This window comes from Homo sapiens, chromosome 2 (genome assembly GCF_000001405.40).
Source record: "Homo sapiens chromosome 2, GRCh38.p14 Primary Assembly".
NCBI classification, from domain to species: domain Eukaryota; kingdom Metazoa; phylum Chordata; class Mammalia; order Primates; family Hominidae; genus Homo; species Homo sapiens.
The window spans coordinates 178,787,223-178,809,827 of record NC_000002.12 but is presented as its reverse complement, the minus strand read 5'-3'; the positions used below and the strand labels follow the sequence as shown (position 1 = coordinate 178,809,827).

Here is a 22,605-nt window from a genome sequence, read left to right as displayed (position 1 = left end):
TCAGCTGTTTGGGATTATCTGTGTGGCTCCTCCCCACTGTTAGGGTGGTAAATTGAGATCTTACTCCATCAGCAAACTCCCCAAATCTGCCTAGTATTTGGTTTCCACAAGACTAGTTTACTAATTCTAACGATGGCATATTTAATTTTAAAACTAATGCATACCATGATATCATATACTGTCCATTACTATTCCAATAATAAGAACTCTTTTTCAGAGCAGCATATTAGTTATTTACTAACTGGTCCCTTCTTTCCTTTTCTTTCTTCTTTTTTCTTTTGTTCATTCATTTTTTTCTTTTCTTAATTCTGAATGTCACATAAACATATAAAGGCCTAAAGGCAAGGATCTTGACAATATTGCAAGGTGTATTAGGGTTCTCTAGAGGGACAGAACTAATATGTATATAGGGAAGAATATATACATACATATATATATTTATATAAAGGGAAGTTTGTTAAGTATTAATTCACACAATCACAAGGTCCCACAATATGCTGTCTGCAAGCTGAGGAGCAAGGAGAGACAGTCCAAGCCCCAAAACTGAAGAACTTGGAGTCCGATGTTCGAGGGCAGGAAGCATCCAGCTCGGGAGAAAGATGTAGGCTGGCAGGCAGGGTCTAGAAAAGTCTAAGAACAGTGACTAGACAATCAGCTTAAGAGGACAGACACTTGACTTTATGTTTATAACATATGGTCCATCTTCTTGGCTCTTGAGTTACCTGAATTGCATCATGTCAAGATGACGCAGGCTTCCAGATTATAGTCACTTCTTCCCTCTAGTTCCCGTAAGAATTAAAATGATTTGACTTTAGTTCCAACAAACATAACGTAACATTAATGTGCTTCACATTAGGTCAAATGAGTCTAAAAATACACACACGCACACTACATACCCACACACAAATATGCACAAACGTATCTTAAATAGATAGCCAATTGGTGAACACTCCAAAACAGAAAGATCATACATTTCTAGTGTTTCTTTGCCTTATGACTGGCAGATTCTTTGTAACACAAATCTCTCAGTGGGAATAATTTTCAAAGTATATAATATGAAACCAGTTGTTTCTGAATAAAGCAATCAAATAGAATTATAGCAGATGCCATCTATGGGGGTGGAAATGGTGCCACCAATACAGATACCACCACTTAAGTAAAGGAGAAAAATGTTTAAATAAGTACATGGCGTCATCTTGTTAACATAACTATACTACATTAGTTGTCAGTAAATTTAAACTGTTAAACATTAACATATTAATCACTATATAAATAAATACAAGATATGAAATACTCAAGAAATTGAAAAGTTTAATGCATGGCCAAATTCTTCCATAACAGGGAATATTTTTATTACAGACATAAAGAAATTTAACTTAAATTAAAAATTTTAGTCTCTTTTATTGATAAAAGTCTCTTTCCATTATCAACAAGACAATTTTCCTCCCTCTAAGTAGAGTTTCACAAATCTCTCAGCTGAGTCATTATAAAGATCTTTTGGTGTGCTCTTTTTTATTTGAAATATCTCTTGCTTGAAATTAAATTCAGTCCTAAAATAGCAACTATATCACCTCCTATCCACTTCCCATTAGTAACAGCAAACTCCAGAGATTAGCAGAACAGCATTCATGTGTCTGGAAAAGGAACCTTATGGATGATTTAAGCATAAGACCTGGCTACTTACTAAGGAGCAGTACACACATATTTGTAAATATTAATGCCAGACAAAAATGAAATCTGACAAAGGTGAAATCATTGTACTGTACAGACTAACCTAAGCAGAGTTCCAATTTTGCCTTTCAACATTATATCTTGCAGGGTTGTATAAGCAATAAGCTCATTAACATCAGTGTAACTGTCCCCGAAATACAAGTGGATTCTGGAGAATGTAGGTAGTACAAATGAGCTCTCTTCAACGTTAAGGTTTATAGCAACTGATTCTTCAGAGAACATGAAGCCTTATGCTTGAGATAAATTTCCTCATCTGCTGTCATGATTGACAGGTCCATTTGGTTTGTTTTATGGGGGAAGGGAACAGGACTGGGGCCTGACTCAGGGCACAGTCCTCAGGTTTGGGGCTCTTTTGTATGACTGCCCACAAGTGCTATCTACTGTCACACCTCTTTAAACCTGCATTTTCGGATTTTAACATCAGCAACCAATGCTCTTCTCTGAGCCTCAACACAGTTATTCTTTAAATACAGTTCTATTTCCTTGGTGAAGTCTCCTTTGAGGTACTAAATTTAGCACTGTCAATCAGAAGAACAGGTGGTATGTGACACTACCAAATAGGTCCTCTCCCATCATGCTTTCCTAAGACAGCCAATCACCCAGGGCCCTGCCTAAGGATGTGGGGCTGTCAGCAGATCTGGTGAATATAAGGGCAGGCCAGACCCTGGCTCTTGAGCAGTCGTGCATTCCCAGCCTCGCCTCGGGTGTAGGGATTGCATAGAAAAGCAAAACTACACAGTCTTGACTGTGTAGTTTTGTTTTTAGGATTAGAGGCTCACCGATTCATGTCGGAGATGGTCAGAAAAACCAACTCTCCATAGGACGTCGTTTCAGAAGCAACCTTGGGCTTAGTCCCACCCTTTTTAGGCACTCTTGAGAAATCAGGTGAGCAGCAACTTTTCTTATTTTAATAGTAGAGTCACTTTCTTATTGATCTCTGGCTCTGGATTATTTGTGTGTGCTAAATGCCTATGTACAAGTGTTTGTATGACTATTTCTTGCCAGTGCTGACCCATTATTTAAATCTGCTTGTTAAATTCTATTTTAAAATGTCTGAACATTTTTCCTTAAAAAGTTGAAAGCTTTATTATATCAGCTAAATGATTCCATGATTCAAATTGTTTAAGTTCACTTAATATTCTAAAAGTTGAGGTCTGAAATGTTGAGAGAAATGTTTACTTCTTTTCTAGACTCTCTTTGCCTGTTGAGAATGTTCAAGGTTATATTACTCAATGATAAAGTTAAGCACACCAAGAATAGCTCTGATAAAATGCATGTGGTATCAGCTACACCCTGATGACTTTTTAAGGGAATCAACTGCTGAGGTATCAGTTGCAGGACAGTGACAGAACACTTGCCTGCTGTCAGTCAACCTTGGAGAGTTTAGGAGAGTTTATTTTAAGAGCATGACATTTTAGACGCATACCTTCAGCCCCAGTTAGACAAAGGCCTGTGAAGAGCAAGTGCTAAGGCAATAAAATTTACCTAGACAATAGGAATGTAAGATCAATTTAAGCTGGTTAATTGCAACATAGTTGGAGATTTGGAATAAAATGATATAATTGTTTTCTAAAATATTCAGAATCTCTTCATGCATTTTAACTCAGCACACAGTCCAATTATATATTTTGAGATAAATGTTGACACTAAGAAGGGTAAGAAATAATGTTTAAAGGAAAGGTTTCTTACTTCTAAATACACTTTGATTTCTCATCTTCCTAGAATTTGATTACTAATTGTCAATGCCTGTAAATACATAGATATATAATTAGGTATTCTATGTCTAAGAGGACAGCTATTTTTAGATATACTAACTTATAAACAGACAAAGTTAGACACAGAAAGTTGTTCATCCCAAAGATAATATGCTACAAAAAGGAGTTTCTGACAAAAAAAATTTATGAAAGCTTTTGGATATTATCTGATTTTTCCAAATATAAATTTTATTGTCTCAGAGAATGCTGGTTTCATTTTTTTAACTAAGTAGAAGGTTACAGTAAGGAACAGAATTATCACTAAGAAGATTATTGCTCCATGAAGTTTTAGTAAACAAAGAATTTAATGAAAAATAGTAATGAAGTGATTGACAATTCAGAAATGTTCTATTTCAGAACAGAATAGTCATGTTGAATAATTAGGTATTTATGCATCAGAAAATTCTTCACATAATGTCTCTGAAACTGATAGGCAAAGTACTTTCTTGCACTTAACAAAATGACTTAACTGCAAATTTTATATTCGTTTCTTTGATGTTGAATATTTTACTTTATGAAAGCATAGGCCTTTTCACTTCATCTACATTTTACACCAGCCTTCCATTATTCAAAGTTTGCAAATTGTTCCATATTAAGAACTCAAGCCAGCATTTTTCTTTCAGAACTATAATAAACTTTGGCCTGTTCACTAAAATTTAAATTTTTCTGAATATTTACTTCAGCAGTAACAACATTTACTGCACAGTTACAGTATGAAGAAATGTTAAGAAATAGAAAGCACCGTATGCCGTCTACAAAAAGCTTGCATATTTGATAAGGCTTGCCAAAGCTTCTCCAGTCAGGAAAGAGATTACAAAGTTCAGATTTTTACTTCTGGCAACTATTTTAAGTAATCAGATAATGTCTGAATCAATGTCAACTTTATAAATATAGAGTGAACGAAAAATATTGGGGAGAAGGAAAATTTTTAAAATAATTTTCACTTACTAAGCTGATGCAGAGGTTTATTTATTTTAATTTTTTTTTTTTTTTTTTTTTGAGACAGAGTCTCATTCTGTCACCCAGGCTGGAGTGTGGTGGCACCATCTTTGCTCACTGCAACCTCCACCTCCTGGGTTTAAGCAATTCTCATGCCTCAGCCTCCCAAGTAGCTGGGACTACAGACATGGGCCACCACGCCTGGCTAATTTTTGTATTTGTAGTAGAGACAGGGGTTTCACCATGTTAGCCAAACTGGTCTCAAACTCCTGACCTCAAGTAATCCTCCCGCCTCGGCCTCCTAAAGTGCTGGGATTACCAGCATGAGCCACCACGCCAGGCCCAGAGGTTTATTTTACATTTATCACATGTCTTGTCTCTCTAATTACACTTCACTAACCCTGCATTGCTGTGGTTTTCTTCTTCAACTCTGAACCTGGTTTTCCACCATTGGTAAGACTGTATATTCCCTCTTTGACCACTAGGGTTCATTCCTTGTTCTGTTTGGCTAATACTTTTTTCCATTTCCCCTTACACTTGCTACTTTGGGTTAGGCTTTAAGTCAACTCAATGATGAACTATGCAAAACTGTTCAAGCCACAAAAGAGAAGACCTGCCCATCACTCTAGGCCCACAGATGACCTATGGAGCAATCCATTTGGAGAAACGTGTGTCTCTGCTATCTGCAAAGCAGCTCCAGAGTGACCCTTAGCTGGGACACCCTAATTTATTTTCTCTTCTTTTTCAGAGTGCCTAGAAAGATGACAACTCAAGCACCGACGTTTACGCAGCCGTTACAAAGCGTTGTGGTACTGGAGGGTAGTACCGCAACCTTTGAGGCTCACATTAGTGGTAAGCTCACACATTCACACTTTTGTTTTTTTTTCCTTTGCCTCCTCTCCAGTAAGTTAACGTTGCTGCAGGACTTGACGCCAAGTTTAAGCCCTGCTTTCACTTCGGAAAATTAGTCCAACACTATGGAAAGGTCATTTTAAGGGTATACCATTCACAGAGTACTGACAAAATCTGACAATATAATGGCTTGAAATGTTTTATTCATATTTATTATTCCACAAAGCAAAAATAATTAGTGTTGGATTAAAATTGCCGTTAGAATCCAGCAACTAAATAGGACCAAATTTAGTCATTCTATATTTGGGCTCAGCTGCAGAGCCAGACTGGAAGCCAAGAACTCAAGCCCAATAGAAGCCAGCCACAGAGCCATGGGGTAGGCAGTCTGGGCTGCCTGCTCTGGACACCTGAACTTCAGTTGGTTCACACGCAAAATAACAGTGCATCTAATTTTCCTCAGAGGCAGAGCTGTTCAGTAATTAACCAACTCCTCATTATTTTATTATTTTATTTTCAATCTTTATTGAGTGATTCTAATGAATTAAAAGACTTTCCAATCGTTTTGAAATGACAGAAAATAATATGCTTCTCGGGTGTCTCTATTTAAAAGGAAGCAAACACTAACCCTAGAATTTTATCTGAAAGGAAGTTCATCTCTTTTTTGCCTTCTTTTTCTTCCTCATAACTCAGTTTATGGATGGTTCAAAAAAATGCATGGTATCATCTTATGAAAAAATGGAGAGTAGTGTATGAACTATATTGTAAATAATTTTAAAATTAATCAATATTTTCTCTTTCTGTAGTATTGTAACGAGCCATGTAAGATGGATACGGATTAAAAAAAATCATGCTTAATTCTTAATTTAGTGCACTTCCATGGTTCATTGCCCACTTCTTTTTTAAAATTTTATGGCTTATAATAAAGATATAAAATAAAATTTCTTTTTTTCTCTTTTTTTCTATTATATGCACCAATCTTATTCATAACTGGATAATACTTTCTTTTACATTGTACAAATATCATATAATCATTGCTTATTTTCTATTGTACATATATAGACCAATGAAATTCCCTTTTCATTGGTCTATATATGTACAATAGAAAATAAGTCTTACCGACTTCCAAATAATTTACCTATTTATCTGGTAACACTCAGTAACTTCTGAACTGAGCAGAACACATATGACTTCAGTGGGAATTTGCCTCCTTGAGAAGTAGTGGAATCTGGCTACTTCATATCTTCTTGTTCCTTCAAACTATATGCAAATAAATTATTACAAAGACACTACTGAAAATATCCAATACCCATAAATCAGTCCAATAAACTATTTAATTGGCCATAGTGGGAGATGGGCTAATGTATAAACAACAAAATAGACTTTCTCTAGATTATCTTTACCTACCAGCGTAAGTAGATAGAGCATCAACCTTTATGCCAAGTGTGAAATAAATCATGCCCTGAATGTGCCTCGTACATTCTCAATGTACAGAGTTTTAATATATTTAAAACATCAAACCATGGACATGTAGTTCTTGGCTCTACAATTTATGGCAGATAAAGAGAATTTGGCTTTCTACCTGCAATTCCAATGATCCATGTTGTTCTGGAAGACTAGGTTTGGATTAGTCTCTTATGAGAAATTGCTTGTCCATGTTACAATGTTTTTACTGATTGCACTTGTGAAAGCAGAAGAGTCCAAGAAGACAGTGTCCCTGTAACCACAGAGGAGGGAGGAGGGCATGCCTCCTGGGCTTGTCAGGCAGAAACTGGAGATCAGTTTGCTGCTTTTGTTCTTCACTTGCTCTCAAAGAGGACAACAATCACTCTTTATTTCAAATTTTCCTTGGTTCTTCATTTTTATAAGTCCCTTTCATGATTTTAATGTTGTCTATTAAATTGCATCAGATAGAGCCCTAGGCAGGCAGGCAGGAGATGGAAATTCTAGTCCCCTCTGTGTCACTGCTAGCTGAAGGACCTTGGAAAAATCATTAGGCCTCTTTTGGTCTCAGTTTCCTCCCTTCCTGCCTTCCTAATGGTCTGCAGGTTTACACACTGATCATGCAACTGTAGGGTTTTCCCTATCATTAAGTGGCATTCCATGCTGGAAAGCTTTTACAGATTCGGACAAGGCAGTGAACATGATGGGACAGAGCAGAGGACTTTGTGGTGCCCATTCAAACATAAAGGTGAATTGTTCTTGCTCTTCAGGTTTTCCAGTTCCTGAGGTGAGCTGGTTTAGGGATGGCCAGGTGATTTCCACTTCCACTCTGCCCGGCGTGCAGATCTCCTTTAGCGATGGCCGCGCTAAACTGACGATCCCCGCCGTGACTAAAGCCAACAGTGGACGATATTCCCTGAAAGCCACCAATGGATCTGGACAAGCGACTAGTACTGCTGAGCTTCTCGTGAAAGGTAGGCTGCTGGGGACCTGCCAATCCTCTGCTCCCCCAGAGGACATCTCCAGCAAATTGGGAAAGGAGTCCAGAAAAAGCTATGGGCAGAGGTAGATGCAGCTCTTAAACTACAGAAGGGTCTACTGGAGGCTGAATTATTTATAACCAAGTTGTTTGCCTTTTGGAATTTAATTTTCCTCTAGAGTACATCGTAAAAGTGACTGAGAATCAGTTTCTCAATACACATATTAAACACTCAAAAGTATGTTAAGGAAATATTAAAAATCATGTTTCTCAGCAAGTAGAAAAGCTTGGAGCCTTGTTTATAAGTCCTTTAAGGAATAAGACATATTCTCCAGGGAAGTGTGAATCTCCAGGAATTCACACTTTAACAAGCATCCAGATAATTCTGATGCCGGTAGTCTACAGACCACCCATTTAAGAGGCATGTAAACATACCCAGAAGAAAATAAATGCTTGTTTATTATTCAAATGCATGACACTGTTTCCCCAGAAAACTTATCACCAATCTTAGTGGCCTCTGTTGTTTTTCTCTATCCTTTACTACCTAGTGAGACATTAGTATACAGAATATTGCATGCCTTTACATGTTTTATAACAATATCTTACATGAGCTACGTAAAGTTACATATGCTTATCCAATAAACTTTACCTTCAATGATGTTCAATTATAGGGCTATAATTGACCTAAGCAGAAACCACATCAAGTAACATCAGGTAGAACTTTAGCATGCACCCAGAAAATTCACAAATGGAAAATGCACAGGGTTGGCAGCACCTGCTGTTGTTTATTACTCAAAATCATGTCAAAGTTAATTCCACTCACTCCTCACACTTATAAAAAATTTCCTTCAACATAACCAAAAAAATCCCCTTTCTGTAACACAATTAAAATGAAGTAATGTTATTATTGGGATTAACGTTTTAAATGCAAGTAAATATTTGGGTTATTTGAATACCTATCAAGTTGGAGAAGGTTTAGAATTTTAAAAATTAAATTAAAAATGTAATGATTCTTTAAGTAACAGGTACACCCATCGTAGCAACCACTGGAATTCATTTTAATGCAACTTACTGGAATATGCAACATGGCTTTCACATATTAATAGAGCGCTAGATGTGAGGTAGAGGGGGAAGTACCAGAAAGATTCTCAAGAAATGTTATAACAAAATCTAGAGCTTTTATTTAAAACAAAGAAACAAAAGGTGGTGGCCTAAACTGCTCAGCAAAACAAAGCAAATAAAATAAAATATGGTGGTGAGAAAGCCTTCTGTAATCTCCTGGCTCCCATTCTTGCTGTCATTGCTGGGTGAGCTGGGTTCAAGGACATTCAAGGATGTTTAGATTGGCGAGTCATCACCTGGTTTTGGAATTGGAGCTGTGATTATTTAAAAATACCTTGTAGGGAGCACCCTGGCTCTCACTCTTGACTTTGTTCTCTTGTCCCCGCAGCTGAGACAGCACCACCCAACTTCGTTCAACGACTGCAGAGCATGACCGTGAGACAAGGAAGCCAAGTGAGACTCCAAGTGAGAGTGACTGGAATCCCTACACCTGTGGTGAAGTTCTACCGGGATGGAGCCGAAATCCAGAGCTCCCTTGATTTCCAAATTTCACAAGAAGGCGACCTCTACAGCTTACTGATTGCAGAAGCATACCCTGAGGACTCAGGGACCTATTCAGTAAATGCCACCAATAGCGTTGGAAGAGCTACTTCGACTGCTGAATTACTGGTTCAAGGTACGTGCTGGAGGTTGAGGAACAGAGAGAAGGGGAGAGAGCTGGTTTGTGTCTAAATGGGGCCAAGCGTCCACTTGCCACCTCTCACAGCCCTGGGAAGAATGCTGTGAGCTGATATAAAAGCTGGCTTTTCGACACCCATGAAAAGTCCCTGAGATTCTAGTCAGGAGCGCAGAATAGAAGCAATCTGTGCTTATGAATCTCATTATAAACTGGAAAGGGTTTCAATTAAGTGATCTACATTTCCAAATTATTGGCAAATAATGAAATTTTAAAAAATCATTCTAAGTAAATTTTTATCTTGTAATGAACATTTTCTATTTTTAAACCTAATTTATATTCATGCAAAATCCAAAACTTTCTGCAATTTTCTCCATTGGGATATCCAGAAAATCTTTTTGACTTTGTAGTCAGAATTAACAGAATCTCTTTTAAAATGGGTCATTGTGCCCCCTCCCAAACATTCATCTTTCCCTTCCCACAGGTGAAGAAGAAGTACCTGCTAAAAAGACAAAGACAATTGTTTCGACTGCTCAGATCTCAGAATCAAGACAAACCCGAATTGAAAAGGTATTTTTCTATACTGTTGGTTTTCAAGCCTTTCAGGCTGTTGCGTCCCCAGCTATTCCTCCTCAACGTGGGCTTTGTTTTAATCTTTTACAGAAGATTGAAGCCCACTTTGATGCCAGATCAATTGCAACAGTTGAGATGGTCATAGATGGTGCCGCTGGGCAACAGCTGCCACATAAAACACCTCCCAGGATTCCTCCGAAGCCAAAGTCAAGATCCCCAACACCACCGTCTATTGCTGCCAAAGCACAGCTGGCTCGGCAGCAGTCCCCATCGCCCATAAGACACTCCCCTTCCCCGGTCAGACACGTGCGGGCACCGACCCCATCTCCGGTCAGGTAAAGCTGCCATAGAGAGAGCAGATTATTGCACATTTTGGAACTAGGTTTTGAAACGAGAAAGATTCCCTTGTCCCCCTCGCAGGGCATGCGACGCGGAGAGTGGTTCGCTTCTTCAGTGTCCCGCTGCTCAAACCTCTAGGGGAGCATACAAACGGGCAGGTTGTGGGGCTCCGTGTTCCTCTGGACATCCAGCCGCTTGTGTGTCTGCCTACTAGGGTCTCAGGGGTTTTTATAGGCATAGGGTGTGGGCGTGGCAGGTCAGGGTGATCTTGGGAAATGCAACATTTGGGCGGGAAGGCAGGAGTGTTTGTCCTCACCTAGGTCCATGGGCACAGGCCTCGCTAGGGACCACGCACTTCTCTTCCCAGCACTTCCCTGCCCTCCTCCCGTGTAAGTTTCATGCACTCAAAAATGTAGCAGGTGACAAAGGAGGTAAACCAAGAAGTTACTGAATATGATTTTCACAAATCCTCACTGTCCACAGGTAAATTGAAGACCCTTATAAACTTCTGAATTCTTATTTATATTTCATGTAATAAATATCTACTTTAGGGGCCAAAATATGGCACAGTGAAAGGAGAAGAGCACAGAAGTTAGAGTTCAAAGCCCTAAGGACAAATCAGCCTGATCACTTAACAGTTTGATTTAGGGCAATAAGTATAAATAATAAAATAATTGTTATTATATATGGATCACTTCCTCTATCAGATTGGAACTATACATACATTATCTCATTAAATGTTCACAACCTGTAAGAATTATTATCCTCAATGTTATTGATAGGTAACTGGAATTAAAGAAGTTAAGCAGTTTATTTAAGGTTTCAGTTGTGTCATCTGTAAATTAAAGAGAGTCACAATAAGAATGATCTCAAGCTGCATTTTGGGGCTTCAATGAGATAATTAGTTGAAAGTGCCTTGTAAATAGAAAATAATTATGCCAATATTCTTATATTCAGATGGTAAGTAAAACCTTTTAAATATTTTGCATATGCTTGTGTTATTTTATCTAGAAAATAAAATGGACTTCTATGCTTACTTAATATGGAAGTATTTTAGAAGGTGATCATGTATCATGATCAGGGCTCAGAAATTATATAATCAAGTGTAAATTGTCCACAACAGTTTTGAAAGTTTGGGATTTAGTTTATCATGATGAAACTTTTAATATGATGAAATGAAAAATGTACAAAATTTGAGCAAAGAAGTGTTTATTGATCAATTTAAATGAAATAAAAAACACATGGATGTTCCCTGCCAAGAAAATTTTTTATAAAAGAATAATAAGGAGATAGTTGACCTAAATAATATTCAAACATACTGTAAAGTTACTATAATCAGAACAGTATGGTATTGGTAAATGAATAGAAAAATACACCAGGGGAACAAAACAGAGAGTCCAGAAAGAGATCCAAGTATAATAGATCCAAGTATATAGGGAATTCAAAAAGCAAAGTGGCCTTTCAATTCAGGGGAGGGAGAGGTATTTTAATAAAGAATGCTGGTCCAATTAGCTATCCATCTGGAAGCAAACAAACATAAACCTCTGCCTCTCACTATTTACAGAATAAATTTCAGCTTGATTAAATAGTTAAAAAATGAAAAAAAAAGAGAAGACAATCTGCAAAAGCATTTATGGGTGAAAGCTTTTAAAAAGACAGTTACAGATTCAACTACATAAAAATCAACATGTATGTATGGCAAAAGCAAAAAGTCATTTCTAAACCAAACAGCACTTGTGAAAAAATTTTAAGACCTTTCTCCTCCTCAAGGTACTTCATTGCCTCTGCCATAAAAGTATCACAATAAACATAAAATGGCTACAAGGTAGACAACACCAGCCTAGAAACAGTATATAACATACAAAATTACGTAAGCTTATGCTGGATAAGACCCATAAACAAGCAAAATATTGAAATGGATTAAAAGAAATGGATCTGGGGGAATGTTTGCAACACTTACGACAAATAACCAATAAATGCACTAAATGCATTAAAAATCATCCACAAATTAATTTTTAAAGGAAAAAAATGCAACACAAAAAAAGACAAAAGATACAAAAAAGTATTTAACATAAGAGGCAATGTAAAAGTCCAATAAACATGTGAAAAAAAATGCTAGATGTTTTCCAATTTTTATTGTTTTAGCCACAAAAATGTAAAGATATTGGCAAACACTAACATGAAACCTTGAACAAAAAGCTTACTTTAAAAAACATGTCTAGCAGTCGAATAAAAAAAAATGTTCAGTCTCAGGCTAAATCCAAGTTTGCACACCATGAAATCACAACACAAGCCAAATGCAATTTCTTGAGGAGATAACAACCTAACTATATTTTAAAACCCAAGCCTAAGGGTCATTTAGAATCATGGAGTGTCCCTGATCCCATGGAGCATTTTGACCATCTTAGCAGTTTTGAAAGTTCATTAATAACCATCCAAATTGCCCCAAAATTTTGCTTTCCAATAATTAAGAAATAAAATGCCAATTTGCAGAGAAAATAATGGTTATCAAAGATAGACTGCTTCCTAAATATCTCATAGTTTAATCTTGATTTTTGTTGTAGAGTAAGGCAAACATATTTCATTGAATAAGGTGCATTGTATCTCGCTGTGACCAGGTGATTATTTTTTGTTGTAAGTACAGAAATAAGCACTCTCCTATAATGACCAAAATTACAATGATTTTCACAGTTATGGGCTTACCTGTGTCCTGCTGTTAATCAGTCATGTCATGCTAATCATGTCTTTAACTCTTTTTGAATTAAACCCATTTACTAAGTACAGCAAGAACAAGGCACAGGGTGAAACTTAAAAGCACATGTCTCTTTGCTTTTCTTCAGTTAGTGGAAACCACACATTATTCTAACTTGGTTTTTGTTATATTTCAAAGGCAGTCATGTTCAGAAAAGAGGCTTATTCCCTAGATTTCCCTTTAGTTTGATTACAACTTCATTTACAAAATGTAAATGGATTTTCACACAAAAAAAGCCATTCTTCGAGAAAATAAACATTTCTTCGTGAAACTGGTTAATGTTGTAATGTACTGTTAGGGTACTCTGTAAGTTAGAGAAAATATCAACTGTACCTTGAGCTTAATTAGAATAATCATTTCATGTATGATCAGTGTAAGCTAAATATCCTAGATAGTGACAAGATGCATTTATAAACATTTTCTTATATGCAGAATTAATAAAATGCAATGATAGGGCAATACTGCCACCTAGAGAGGAAAATGTAATAAGCCTTATTAAGAATTAAATCAGTTCTGAAAAAAATTTTACCTTACAATAGTTGGCCAATCCCCAGAATTATTGCTATAGATCAGAAATAGTCTTTTTTGGCCATCAGTGCTGGGATTTAGCACCCAAATTCTTCAACTGATGCTACTTGCACTTTGGATACACCTAAAAAGCAAACAATGAAAACTATTCTGGAAGAAGCAACTTTATCAATTTACCCAAAAATCACAGAATCATTAGTTTTTAAGTTAGTCAATTCCCACAATAACTCTAAAGATATTTAAAATAAGTCCAGAGTGCAATACAAGGGGGGCGAGTGTAAACAAATATGGAGGAAATTAAAAGTAGCTGTCCACAAACACTTCGGCTAAAGCAGCAATTTGCAAAGTGCACTGCACAACCTGTACCCAGCAACATGCTGCAGAAAGCTTCCTGAGGATGTGTCCCCCTGTCCTGGAAATTCACAAGGCATACTGACATAGTAAAGGCTGTGGGAAGTCCTGCAGGGGAAAAAAAAAAATGGCTTAAGCTGCTTAGTCAAGAGTGGCACAAGCATTTTGATTACAGAAACCTTTCTTCTTATAACACCTATTTGACATCCTCTAACCCCCCCAGAATTGGAATACAGAGATGAATTTGGAATACAGAGGTTGCTGGATTTGACATGTCTTTCCTTTGGCTGCATATTAAAGAAGTAGCTTTTTCTGTTGTGATTTTTTTTTTTTTTTAATGTGAGAAGGTGCAAGGCACAAAATCTCCAGCTTATTTGGAATTAAAGCTGATTCTCTTACAGGGTTACAGCAGATAAGAATAGGTTTATTGAGATTTAAAACAAATTACTTCCAAGTACATTATTTACCCTCTGAATGGGTTATGGAGGCACACATTTTAAAACTCTGCCTTAAAGCACTTCCAGCTTTTCATCTCATGATTCACATCCAGTTACCCCTCCTTGCTTTGACATTCTTGACCTCTGCCTTTTGGTTTTCAGGTCCGTGTCTCCAGCAGCAAGAATCTCCACATCCCCCATCAGGTCTGTTAGGTCTCCATTGCTCATGCGTAAGACTCAGGCATCCACCGTGGCCACAGGTCCTGAAGTGCCTCCCCCTTGGAAGCAAGAGGGCTACGTGGCCTCCTCATCTGAGGCTGAGATGAGAGAGACAACGCTGACAACCTCTACTCAGATCAGGACAGAAGAGAGATGGGAAGGGAGATACGGTGTCCAGGAGCAAGTGACCATCAGTGGTGCTGCGGGTGCTGCCGCCAGTGTGTCGGCCAGTGCTAGCTACGCAGCAGAGGCTGTTGCCACTGGTGCTAAAGAGGTACTGTCAGAATGGTTTTGTTTTTCCTTATTTCACATTCTAGTTTCTCCAACTGGATTTCTGCCATGAAACTCAGTCTGTATAAATTGGAGGAAAAATGCATATGAACATAAAAATATAGCAGCAACTGAAGACCAAATTCAGTAGTCATGCTTTGTAAAACCATTTTTAATTAGGACAAAAGCTCCAATCTGTGAAGTTTCCATAATATACAGGTTTTAATGATACAGTCTCTGTATTTCTTGGCAATAATAAATGCTTATGTATGAGTGTATTTTGCTCTAGGTGGCTCAGTTTTCCAGTATGCTTTTTTATTTTCTACTGGGCATGTCATTTAAAAAAGTAATCTACTTGGTCATTTCTAATCTAGGTGAAACAAGATGCTGACAAAAGTGCAGCTGTTGCGACTGTTGTTGCTGCCGTTGATATGGCCAGAGTGAGAGAACCAGTGATCAGCGCTGTAGAGCAGACTGCTCAGAGGACAACCACGACTGCTGTGCACATCCAACCTGCTCAAGAACAGGTACGTGCGAGGCTGCCATGGGGCACCCGCAGAGCCACGTCCTTCAGTGCACATTAACTCAACCACCATCCACTGAGCTTGGCATGCAGCTGTGCTCAATTCATTCTGAAGACAGCCTTGAGCCCAGCAGGGCCCAGACTTTTAGAACTTTCTGAGCAAAAGGTGGTCGGAGATGTCAAAGGTGTTGACAATGTGAGTATCACAAGAGCAGAGTAGGCCAGAAATACCTGGGCTATATGAGCAGGCAAAAGTCAACTATGGTATTCAAGGTAGGAAGGCAAAGAGTGGCCAGAGAAACAGAGACCAGTCAATTCCAGAGCTCAGTCACTGCACACACTGGATGTGGAAACTACTATTTCAGGGAAGGCATTACATTTCTCTAAGTTTCCCCAAAGGACTTTTGTTTTTACTTTTCTCAAAACAAACATGACACTTGATTCATAGCTGGAACAGTGTCATAAATCCAGGATAATGTCCCACCTCGCATTTGAATAGATTTTCTGTTACAGTTTAAAATCATTCCAGCTTTCCTCCTTATCCTCTTGTGTGACATTTATGTCTAAATCCTGACAGATTATTGTAACTTTTTTTTCTTTTCTGAGACAGAGTCTCGCTCTGTCACCCAGGCTAGAGTGCAGTGGCATGACCTCCGCTCACTGCAGCCTCCGCCTCCTGGGTTTAAGTGATTCTTGTGCCTCAGTCTCGTGAGTAGCTGGGATTACAGGTGTGCGCCACCACACCCAGCTAATTTTTGTATTTTTTAGTAGAGGATTTCACCATGTTGGCGAGGCTGGTCTTGAACTAATTTTTATGTAAGATGCATTAAGGTGTTTTCTTCCTTTCTCTATGAAAAGCAGGTAAGAAAGGAAGCGGAGAAGACTGCTGTAACTAAGGTAGTAGTGGCCGCCGATAAAGCCAAGGAACAAGAATTAAAATCAAGAACCAAAGAAGTAATTACCACAAAGCAAGAGCAGATGCACGTAACTCATGAGCAGGTGAAAATGGGTTTGTATTTTAAATTCACTGAGGTTCTTACAGGGGTCAACACAGATAATCACCTTTACCATGAAGAGTGTTGTTCCTTGGGCCACATGGTTGTTAGCATACTAATAAGATCCCCTTGTTGTATGTGTAAATTTCTGGGTACTGGATACCAAAGTTTGGTAGTGTCCCTGAATGCTCCCCTTGTGAGTATGAAAAAGAACTCTGTGAACATACACCAGGAGTAGAAACAGGGGTCTCATCACATTGATCTGGGGATGCACTAAGTATAAGACTATAGGGAGAGGACAGATGGCTAAAACCAGGAGGAAGAAATAGATGCTGAGGCAGGAATGGGGAAAAGTGGAGGAGACACTGAACTCACTTTGCTTTAGAAATCTTAGCAACTGCTTCCTGGCTCCTTCGGAAGACATTTGCACATGAGTTTGAAGTGGAATGGACAGCATGGCTTTAACAAGCCAAATGACCAGAAAAGGTGAAAAGGACAGCCCCATGGTTGGCGGCATTTGGGGACAGATTGGAAAATGCCAGTTAGTAGAGCTCTTGGCCAGTGGAACCAGTTGGCAGTTGGGTGGTTTGAGAAGATGAATTTCAAGTCCCTTTCAGCCTTGAGATCCTGTGTTTCAGTGATGAGATATTTGAGAATGGCAAAGAGGCAAATAGAGAAAACTGTCCCCCTACATACGCATATACCTTAGGTGCCCAGATGGAAACAGCATTCTTCACAGTATTTAGGAAAACTGACAAAACAAAAATATTGTATAAATGCAGATTATAAATTATCCATGCTTGATTTCTCACATGTAAAATAAAAAGATCAGACAAAATTACTTCTAAAGTCTTCCATTCTGATATATATTCTAAGATTACCTTTAGATGACAGAATTAGTACAGAATAATATTGCCATAGATCTATTTGTAAACATTGGAAGTCATTTTAAAGAAGACTACAATTCTGCTGTTCAAAACAAAGTGTTGAATTCAACTTTGTTTTCTCTAAGCAGCCTACATAATTTACAGTTTAAGGAGAGAAAGAGCATGATCTTATTTATGAACATGGGATTATTTATTTTATTTAGTGACATCTGCAGAAAAGGGATTTTACATCTTCAAATTCCTATGTTGTTATATTTAATAAACACCATATTATTTCATTGGGCATCAGGAAATAAAGTTTTTTCTTAAATCATTCTTTGCAGATAAGAAAAGAAACTGAAAAAACATTTGTACCAAAGGTAGTAATTTCCGCAGCTAAAGCCAAAGAACAAGAAACTAGAATTTCTGAAGAAATTACTAAGAAACAGAAACAAGTAACTCAAGAAGCAGTAAGTCTGATTTTCTAAATATTTTGTAGTTTGTTGACAATATCACATTACAGCCAGCTGCAGGTAGCTTATAGTCAAAACCCTTAAATGGAGAAGTCTTTGGTTGTATATTTTTTGTTATTGTTCCTCTATGTCTAGTATTGAAACTCAGGATGGAAATTATGTTCACATTGCACTATTTTCCACTCACTTGATCAGTTTTCAGGAGATTGTCTACAGAACAGTTTAGGGCACATCTATGAACTTTCTAGAACATACATAAATGGATGATAGATATCATGCCAGTCCAGTTACCCACCGGGACAGTTGGTTTCTTCGTGCATAGCCTAAGCCCTCAGTCACTTAGATTGTAATGCACAAACTTTACATGCACACACACATGCACACACACACACACACACACACACATATACACATACATCAGCCATAAACACCCCGAATAAATAGCAAGGGAAAGTGAGGATATGCCAGACATCGGAGAAAGCAAATACTTCCTCAAAAAAAAAAATTCCTTCAATTCACGGTTGATAAACAGTGACCTAGAAGCATTTGCTGCTGTTGTGCCGTAGAGCTGTGTGAGGACAATCTCAGTGTCACTAAAATCCACATCTCTCCCGTATGTGAAATCAAACCTTTAAGTGTCAGGAGAGAGGCATTTATCTTGAATTCTTCCATGTCAAAGAGGGCGCCTGTGCTCATCCTCCTTGAACTCAAGCTCTTTGCTGATCTTAGAGCTACTTTCTTTAAAGGTCCAGTTGAGAACCTTGTACACTTAAAAGGCTGACCAGAGGCTGCTGACTGAATTTCCCTCTCCTTACTGTGAGTGAGACATTTTGAAAGCAGCAAGAACCCTACTTAGGATAATCAAAGGCATAGAAATCCCCATTGCCATTGCAATGCTGGTGACTGGCAAGTTCAGCTGGCCTATGGTTTTCCAGCCACTTGTCAGCAGCCACCCACCGGGTTCCCTAACACGTTGACATGTCTCAAGATGAGATATGTTCAGTTCTAGGACAATTTGCTAAGGCGCATGTGGGCAGAAAAGAAGCCCATTCCTCAGGAAAGCAGTCTATGTATTAAGCACAAGTGTAGGCCCCTGAAATGGAAATCTGACATTTTATCGTTCACCACTAAGCATCCTGTATTTTCCTGAGTGTTTCAAGGATGTCTTCCCATTGCTTTTGTATCTTTTGAAACTCAAATCTTTATTTTACTCTAAACATCAGATAAGACAGGAAACTGAGATAACTGCTGCATCCATGGTGGTAGTTGCCACTGCAAAGTCCACAAAACTAGAAACAGTCCCGGGAGCTCAAGAAGAAACTACCACACAACAAGATCAAATGCACCTAAGTTATGAAAAGGTGATGACTTCCTGCCAATGTGAAAGTCACTCTTGCACCATTTCATTTGCAAATCACCTACATTTTCATCATGGATCTTAATCATCACTTCTTCACTTCCACCTCTTCTTATAATGCAAATAGAAAATTTCTTTTCCCACACAGCTACCTTTCACTGTCAATTCATTCCTAACTTTCAGACTTTCTTTGGCTTGTTACTAATATAATATAATAATTCACTTTAATATCTTCCTATTGAAGCAGATGTCCGTAAACAAGTCAATTCATAATACAAAAAATTATGTGCTATTTACAGTGCTACTGAAATGTCTCAGAGATTGCAGTTTTAAAAAATGTGAAAAGTACAAAATAGCACTCATTAGTCTTTTATTGCTAATCACATTTTTTTCTTTTAAACTGGACTTATTGTTTTGATATTTTTGCCAGTGAAACAGTATGGATGATCAAAGTAACTCAAATGATATATTTTAGTGCAATTAAAATTTCCTTGAATAGGAAGAAATTTTGCCTCCTTTCTTTTTGACTTACGTTTCTTTTATTAAAGATTTATGGAATTTAATGACTATTTTCTTACTTTCTTTTGTATGATCAGATAATGAAGGAAACTAGGAAAACAGTTGTACCTAAAGTCATAGTTGCCACACCCAAAGTCAAAGAACAAGATTTAGTATCAAGAGGTAGAGAAGGCATTACTACCAAAAGAGAACAAGTGCAAATAACTCAGGAGAAGGTGAATACAGATATTTGAGCTGTGAAAAGTTCATCTTTAAACTAATTTCTAGTAAACTATTAACTACAATATGGTATGAATTATTAATCTGTATTTGCCTTTTAAAATCCCTAACTAAAAACAAAATGGTAAATATGAGACTGATTATCATTAATTTTATCTGCACATTTGATTTTCATCCATCTGTAACATTTATAATTCATTTTATTCACCATTATTCTTTGCATGAAGATTAGCATTTTTTAGCTTAATTTTTAAAAAGTGACACAGGGACTCATCTAGAGGTTTTTTAATAGCTAACATTTCTAAGTTTTGTGATTCTCAGTCAGTATATGTAGACATTGCCGGTGAAAGTTTATTTCTCTTGTGTATTTAACCCTGAATAACCATCTTGCATCCCCATGAGGAAGGGGGAAGGGTCATACTATGTGTGTTTGAAGCCCTGTTCAACTTAAATCTTGATTTTACTGTAATAATCAGATGAGAAAGGAAGCCGAGAAAACTGCCTTGTCTACAATAGCAGTTGCTACTGCTAAAGCCAAAGAACAAGAAACAATACTGAGAACTAGAGAAACTATGGCTACTAGACAAGAACAAATCCAAGTTACCCATGGAAAGGTGACTATTGTTGTTCCAAGTGTGAAATCCCCTATTATAATACATTAATACCACATATCATGTGAAATTCCTTATTGTAATACATTAATATCAAGTCTCTGAATTTCTTATGTATGAGTCACTATTAACCAAATTTATTTTTTAGACAATTAAATAATTGGAAACTAAAAAAATTTATTATTGTTAATATTACTACATATCCCTTTCTCCACTTATCTCTTCACCATTATTGTCAACATTTTATTAACATCTGGGAATCTTCCAGAAGTTGATTAAAATTGCATGCAGGCTAATTTTAAGAGGCCCATGAACATTTTTTAAAAACACGGAAGATGTATAAGTAAATGATGACTCTTACTCACTGTCAAGAAGATGTGTGTTTTGAAGGGTCATAAATTCAGTATATTATGTTATGGAGTATGACTTATTTCAGTAAATTACCCATAATTTTCTTTGTATGAAACTTTATCTTTTTTCCCTCCTGTAAATATCAGAGGAGAAGATAAGCTGAAAAAATTATAATGCATGCTGTAGCAGCTCCCACTAAAGCTAAACAAGATGCATATTAAAATCTAGAGAAGGAAGTATCCAAACAGAACAATTACACATAAGCCATGAAAAGATTACCGTATCTATTTGTAGCTATGAAATATCCATGAATTAAACTGTTTCCCATGACTCTGTCATTTACTCCAAATGAGCCATTTACCTAATTGTATTCTTTATTGCTAATATACCACTTGAAAATTAGCAACTAAAGTTTTTCCATTTCATTAGCAGGATGGCCTGAATCCTATTTGTATTTCCCTCAGTGTCATTTTCTGACTCTACATCTTTTTTTTCTAAGATATGATTTAAGATAAACTTTTTAAACCTTTACTCAAATCTAACATTTAATGGCATATCAGCCTTTCAGAAGTCTCATAAATGACAGAAATTCCACTATGCAACATACTTCATGAGTGATTAACTTTTTACTTTTGTTTCCATTCAAATTTTGTCATGAATTGACTATCTTGTTTTTGTTAAAAATTAGCTAAGGATGGAAGCTGAGAAAATGTTTATACCTGAAGTAGTAGTTACCACTGCAAAATCTGCTGAACCAGCCACACCGCCAATGACTAGAGAAGGATTCACTATTAAACAAAAACAAATACATCTTTTTCGAGAAGAGATGAAAACTGATGCTATGGAGGTGAAAAGTATTGTTTCATCCCATTTCATCATCAACTCTCATAACTTTTCATCCGTCGTGAATTGTGCTTCTAGTGTTCCATCTAATTGTTTAACTGATCAATAAAACAATAGAGATGGTTAGATTCAGTCCATCCTCCAGTTGAACAGTGAGCATTTCTAGTAGTGAAAAGTCAGACCAAATAATACTCTTCTTTATGTCTCCTAAATTTATTCTCAGCATTTAACTCGTATGAATTGGAGTATTCTAGTCCAATTTGTCTTCCTGCTTCTCTAGGTTACAAACATGTGAGAGATATCAAAGTCCACTAAGAAATAAAAGCGGTTACCAGCATACTCATTTGTAGTCCACCAATAAGTGTGTGTATATAAATCTGATATACAATAATTCAAGGAAAAAACAGACAGATGCTTCCTCAATTTAAAATATTTTACCATGATTAAGATTTTTCCATATGTTTAAAATCAAGAACAAAATTTAAATATTTCAGTTGTGTGATATTTAGTCATATGACAGTTTCTTTGACAGTTTCTTTTATCATTGTTAAAATAAAATTAAGACTTAAGCTGACTACTTCATAGCAGACTGGCTAAAAGGTTCAAATGAGATATAGTGGAAATGTGATCACACTACAATCAAAATAATATTTATTTATTTAGTGTTATCTGTCGAAGATGTTAACATTTTAAAATGTCTATACAATTAAAGTCAGCTCATTGCCAATATAGTTTTTAAAAAAGAAAAAAATAAATGGACAAACTTAACTCACCTAAGCCTCATGTGTATTTTATGTTTTTTTCTGAGATGATGCAATCTAAAGTGAAGATGGTATTTGCAGTCCTTCGAGGCAGATGAAATTGTTTGTGTCTTCCTAAAAGGAAGCCCTGGATAAAGCCCATGATCACTAAAGACCCAATTCCATCTCAGAAAAATCTCATTTAT

At 37.0% G+C, this 22,605-nt stretch overlaps 1 protein-coding gene across 21 annotated transcripts in view; it reads left to right on the top strand.

Moving 5' to 3' along the window:
• The window catches only part of TTN (titin), a 281,435-nt gene continuing 261,234 nt past the window's right edge, over positions 2,405 to 22,605 (top strand). For 13 of the 21 annotated variants that reach the window (XM_017004820.1, XM_024453099.1, XM_017004823.1 and 10 more), the window contains exons 1-13: positions 2,405 to 2,616; positions 5,173 to 5,276; positions 7,487 to 7,690; positions 9,146 to 9,433; positions 9,918 to 10,003; positions 10,097 to 10,341; positions 14,576 to 14,906; positions 15,277 to 15,429; positions 16,284 to 16,424; positions 17,631 to 17,756; positions 18,983 to 19,120; positions 19,713 to 19,850; positions 20,331 to 20,468. In XM_017004820.1, coding sequence (XP_016860309.1) covers positions 5,186 to 5,276; positions 7,487 to 7,690; positions 9,146 to 9,433; positions 9,918 to 10,003; positions 10,097 to 10,341; positions 14,576 to 14,906; positions 15,277 to 15,429; positions 16,284 to 16,424; positions 17,631 to 17,756; positions 18,983 to 19,120; positions 19,713 to 19,850; positions 20,331 to 20,468 — 2,079 coding nt within the window. In that variant the 5' untranslated portion in view covers positions 2,405 to 2,616; positions 5,173 to 5,185. The remainder of the gene's footprint in view (positions 2,617 to 5,172; positions 5,277 to 7,486; positions 7,691 to 9,145; positions 9,434 to 9,917; positions 10,004 to 10,096; positions 10,342 to 14,575; positions 14,907 to 15,276; positions 15,430 to 16,283; positions 16,425 to 17,630; positions 17,757 to 18,982; positions 19,121 to 19,712; positions 19,851 to 20,330; positions 20,469 to 22,605) is intronic. The other 8 variants (NM_133378.4, XM_017004821.1, NM_001256850.1 and 5 more) reach the window with 2 other exon arrangements.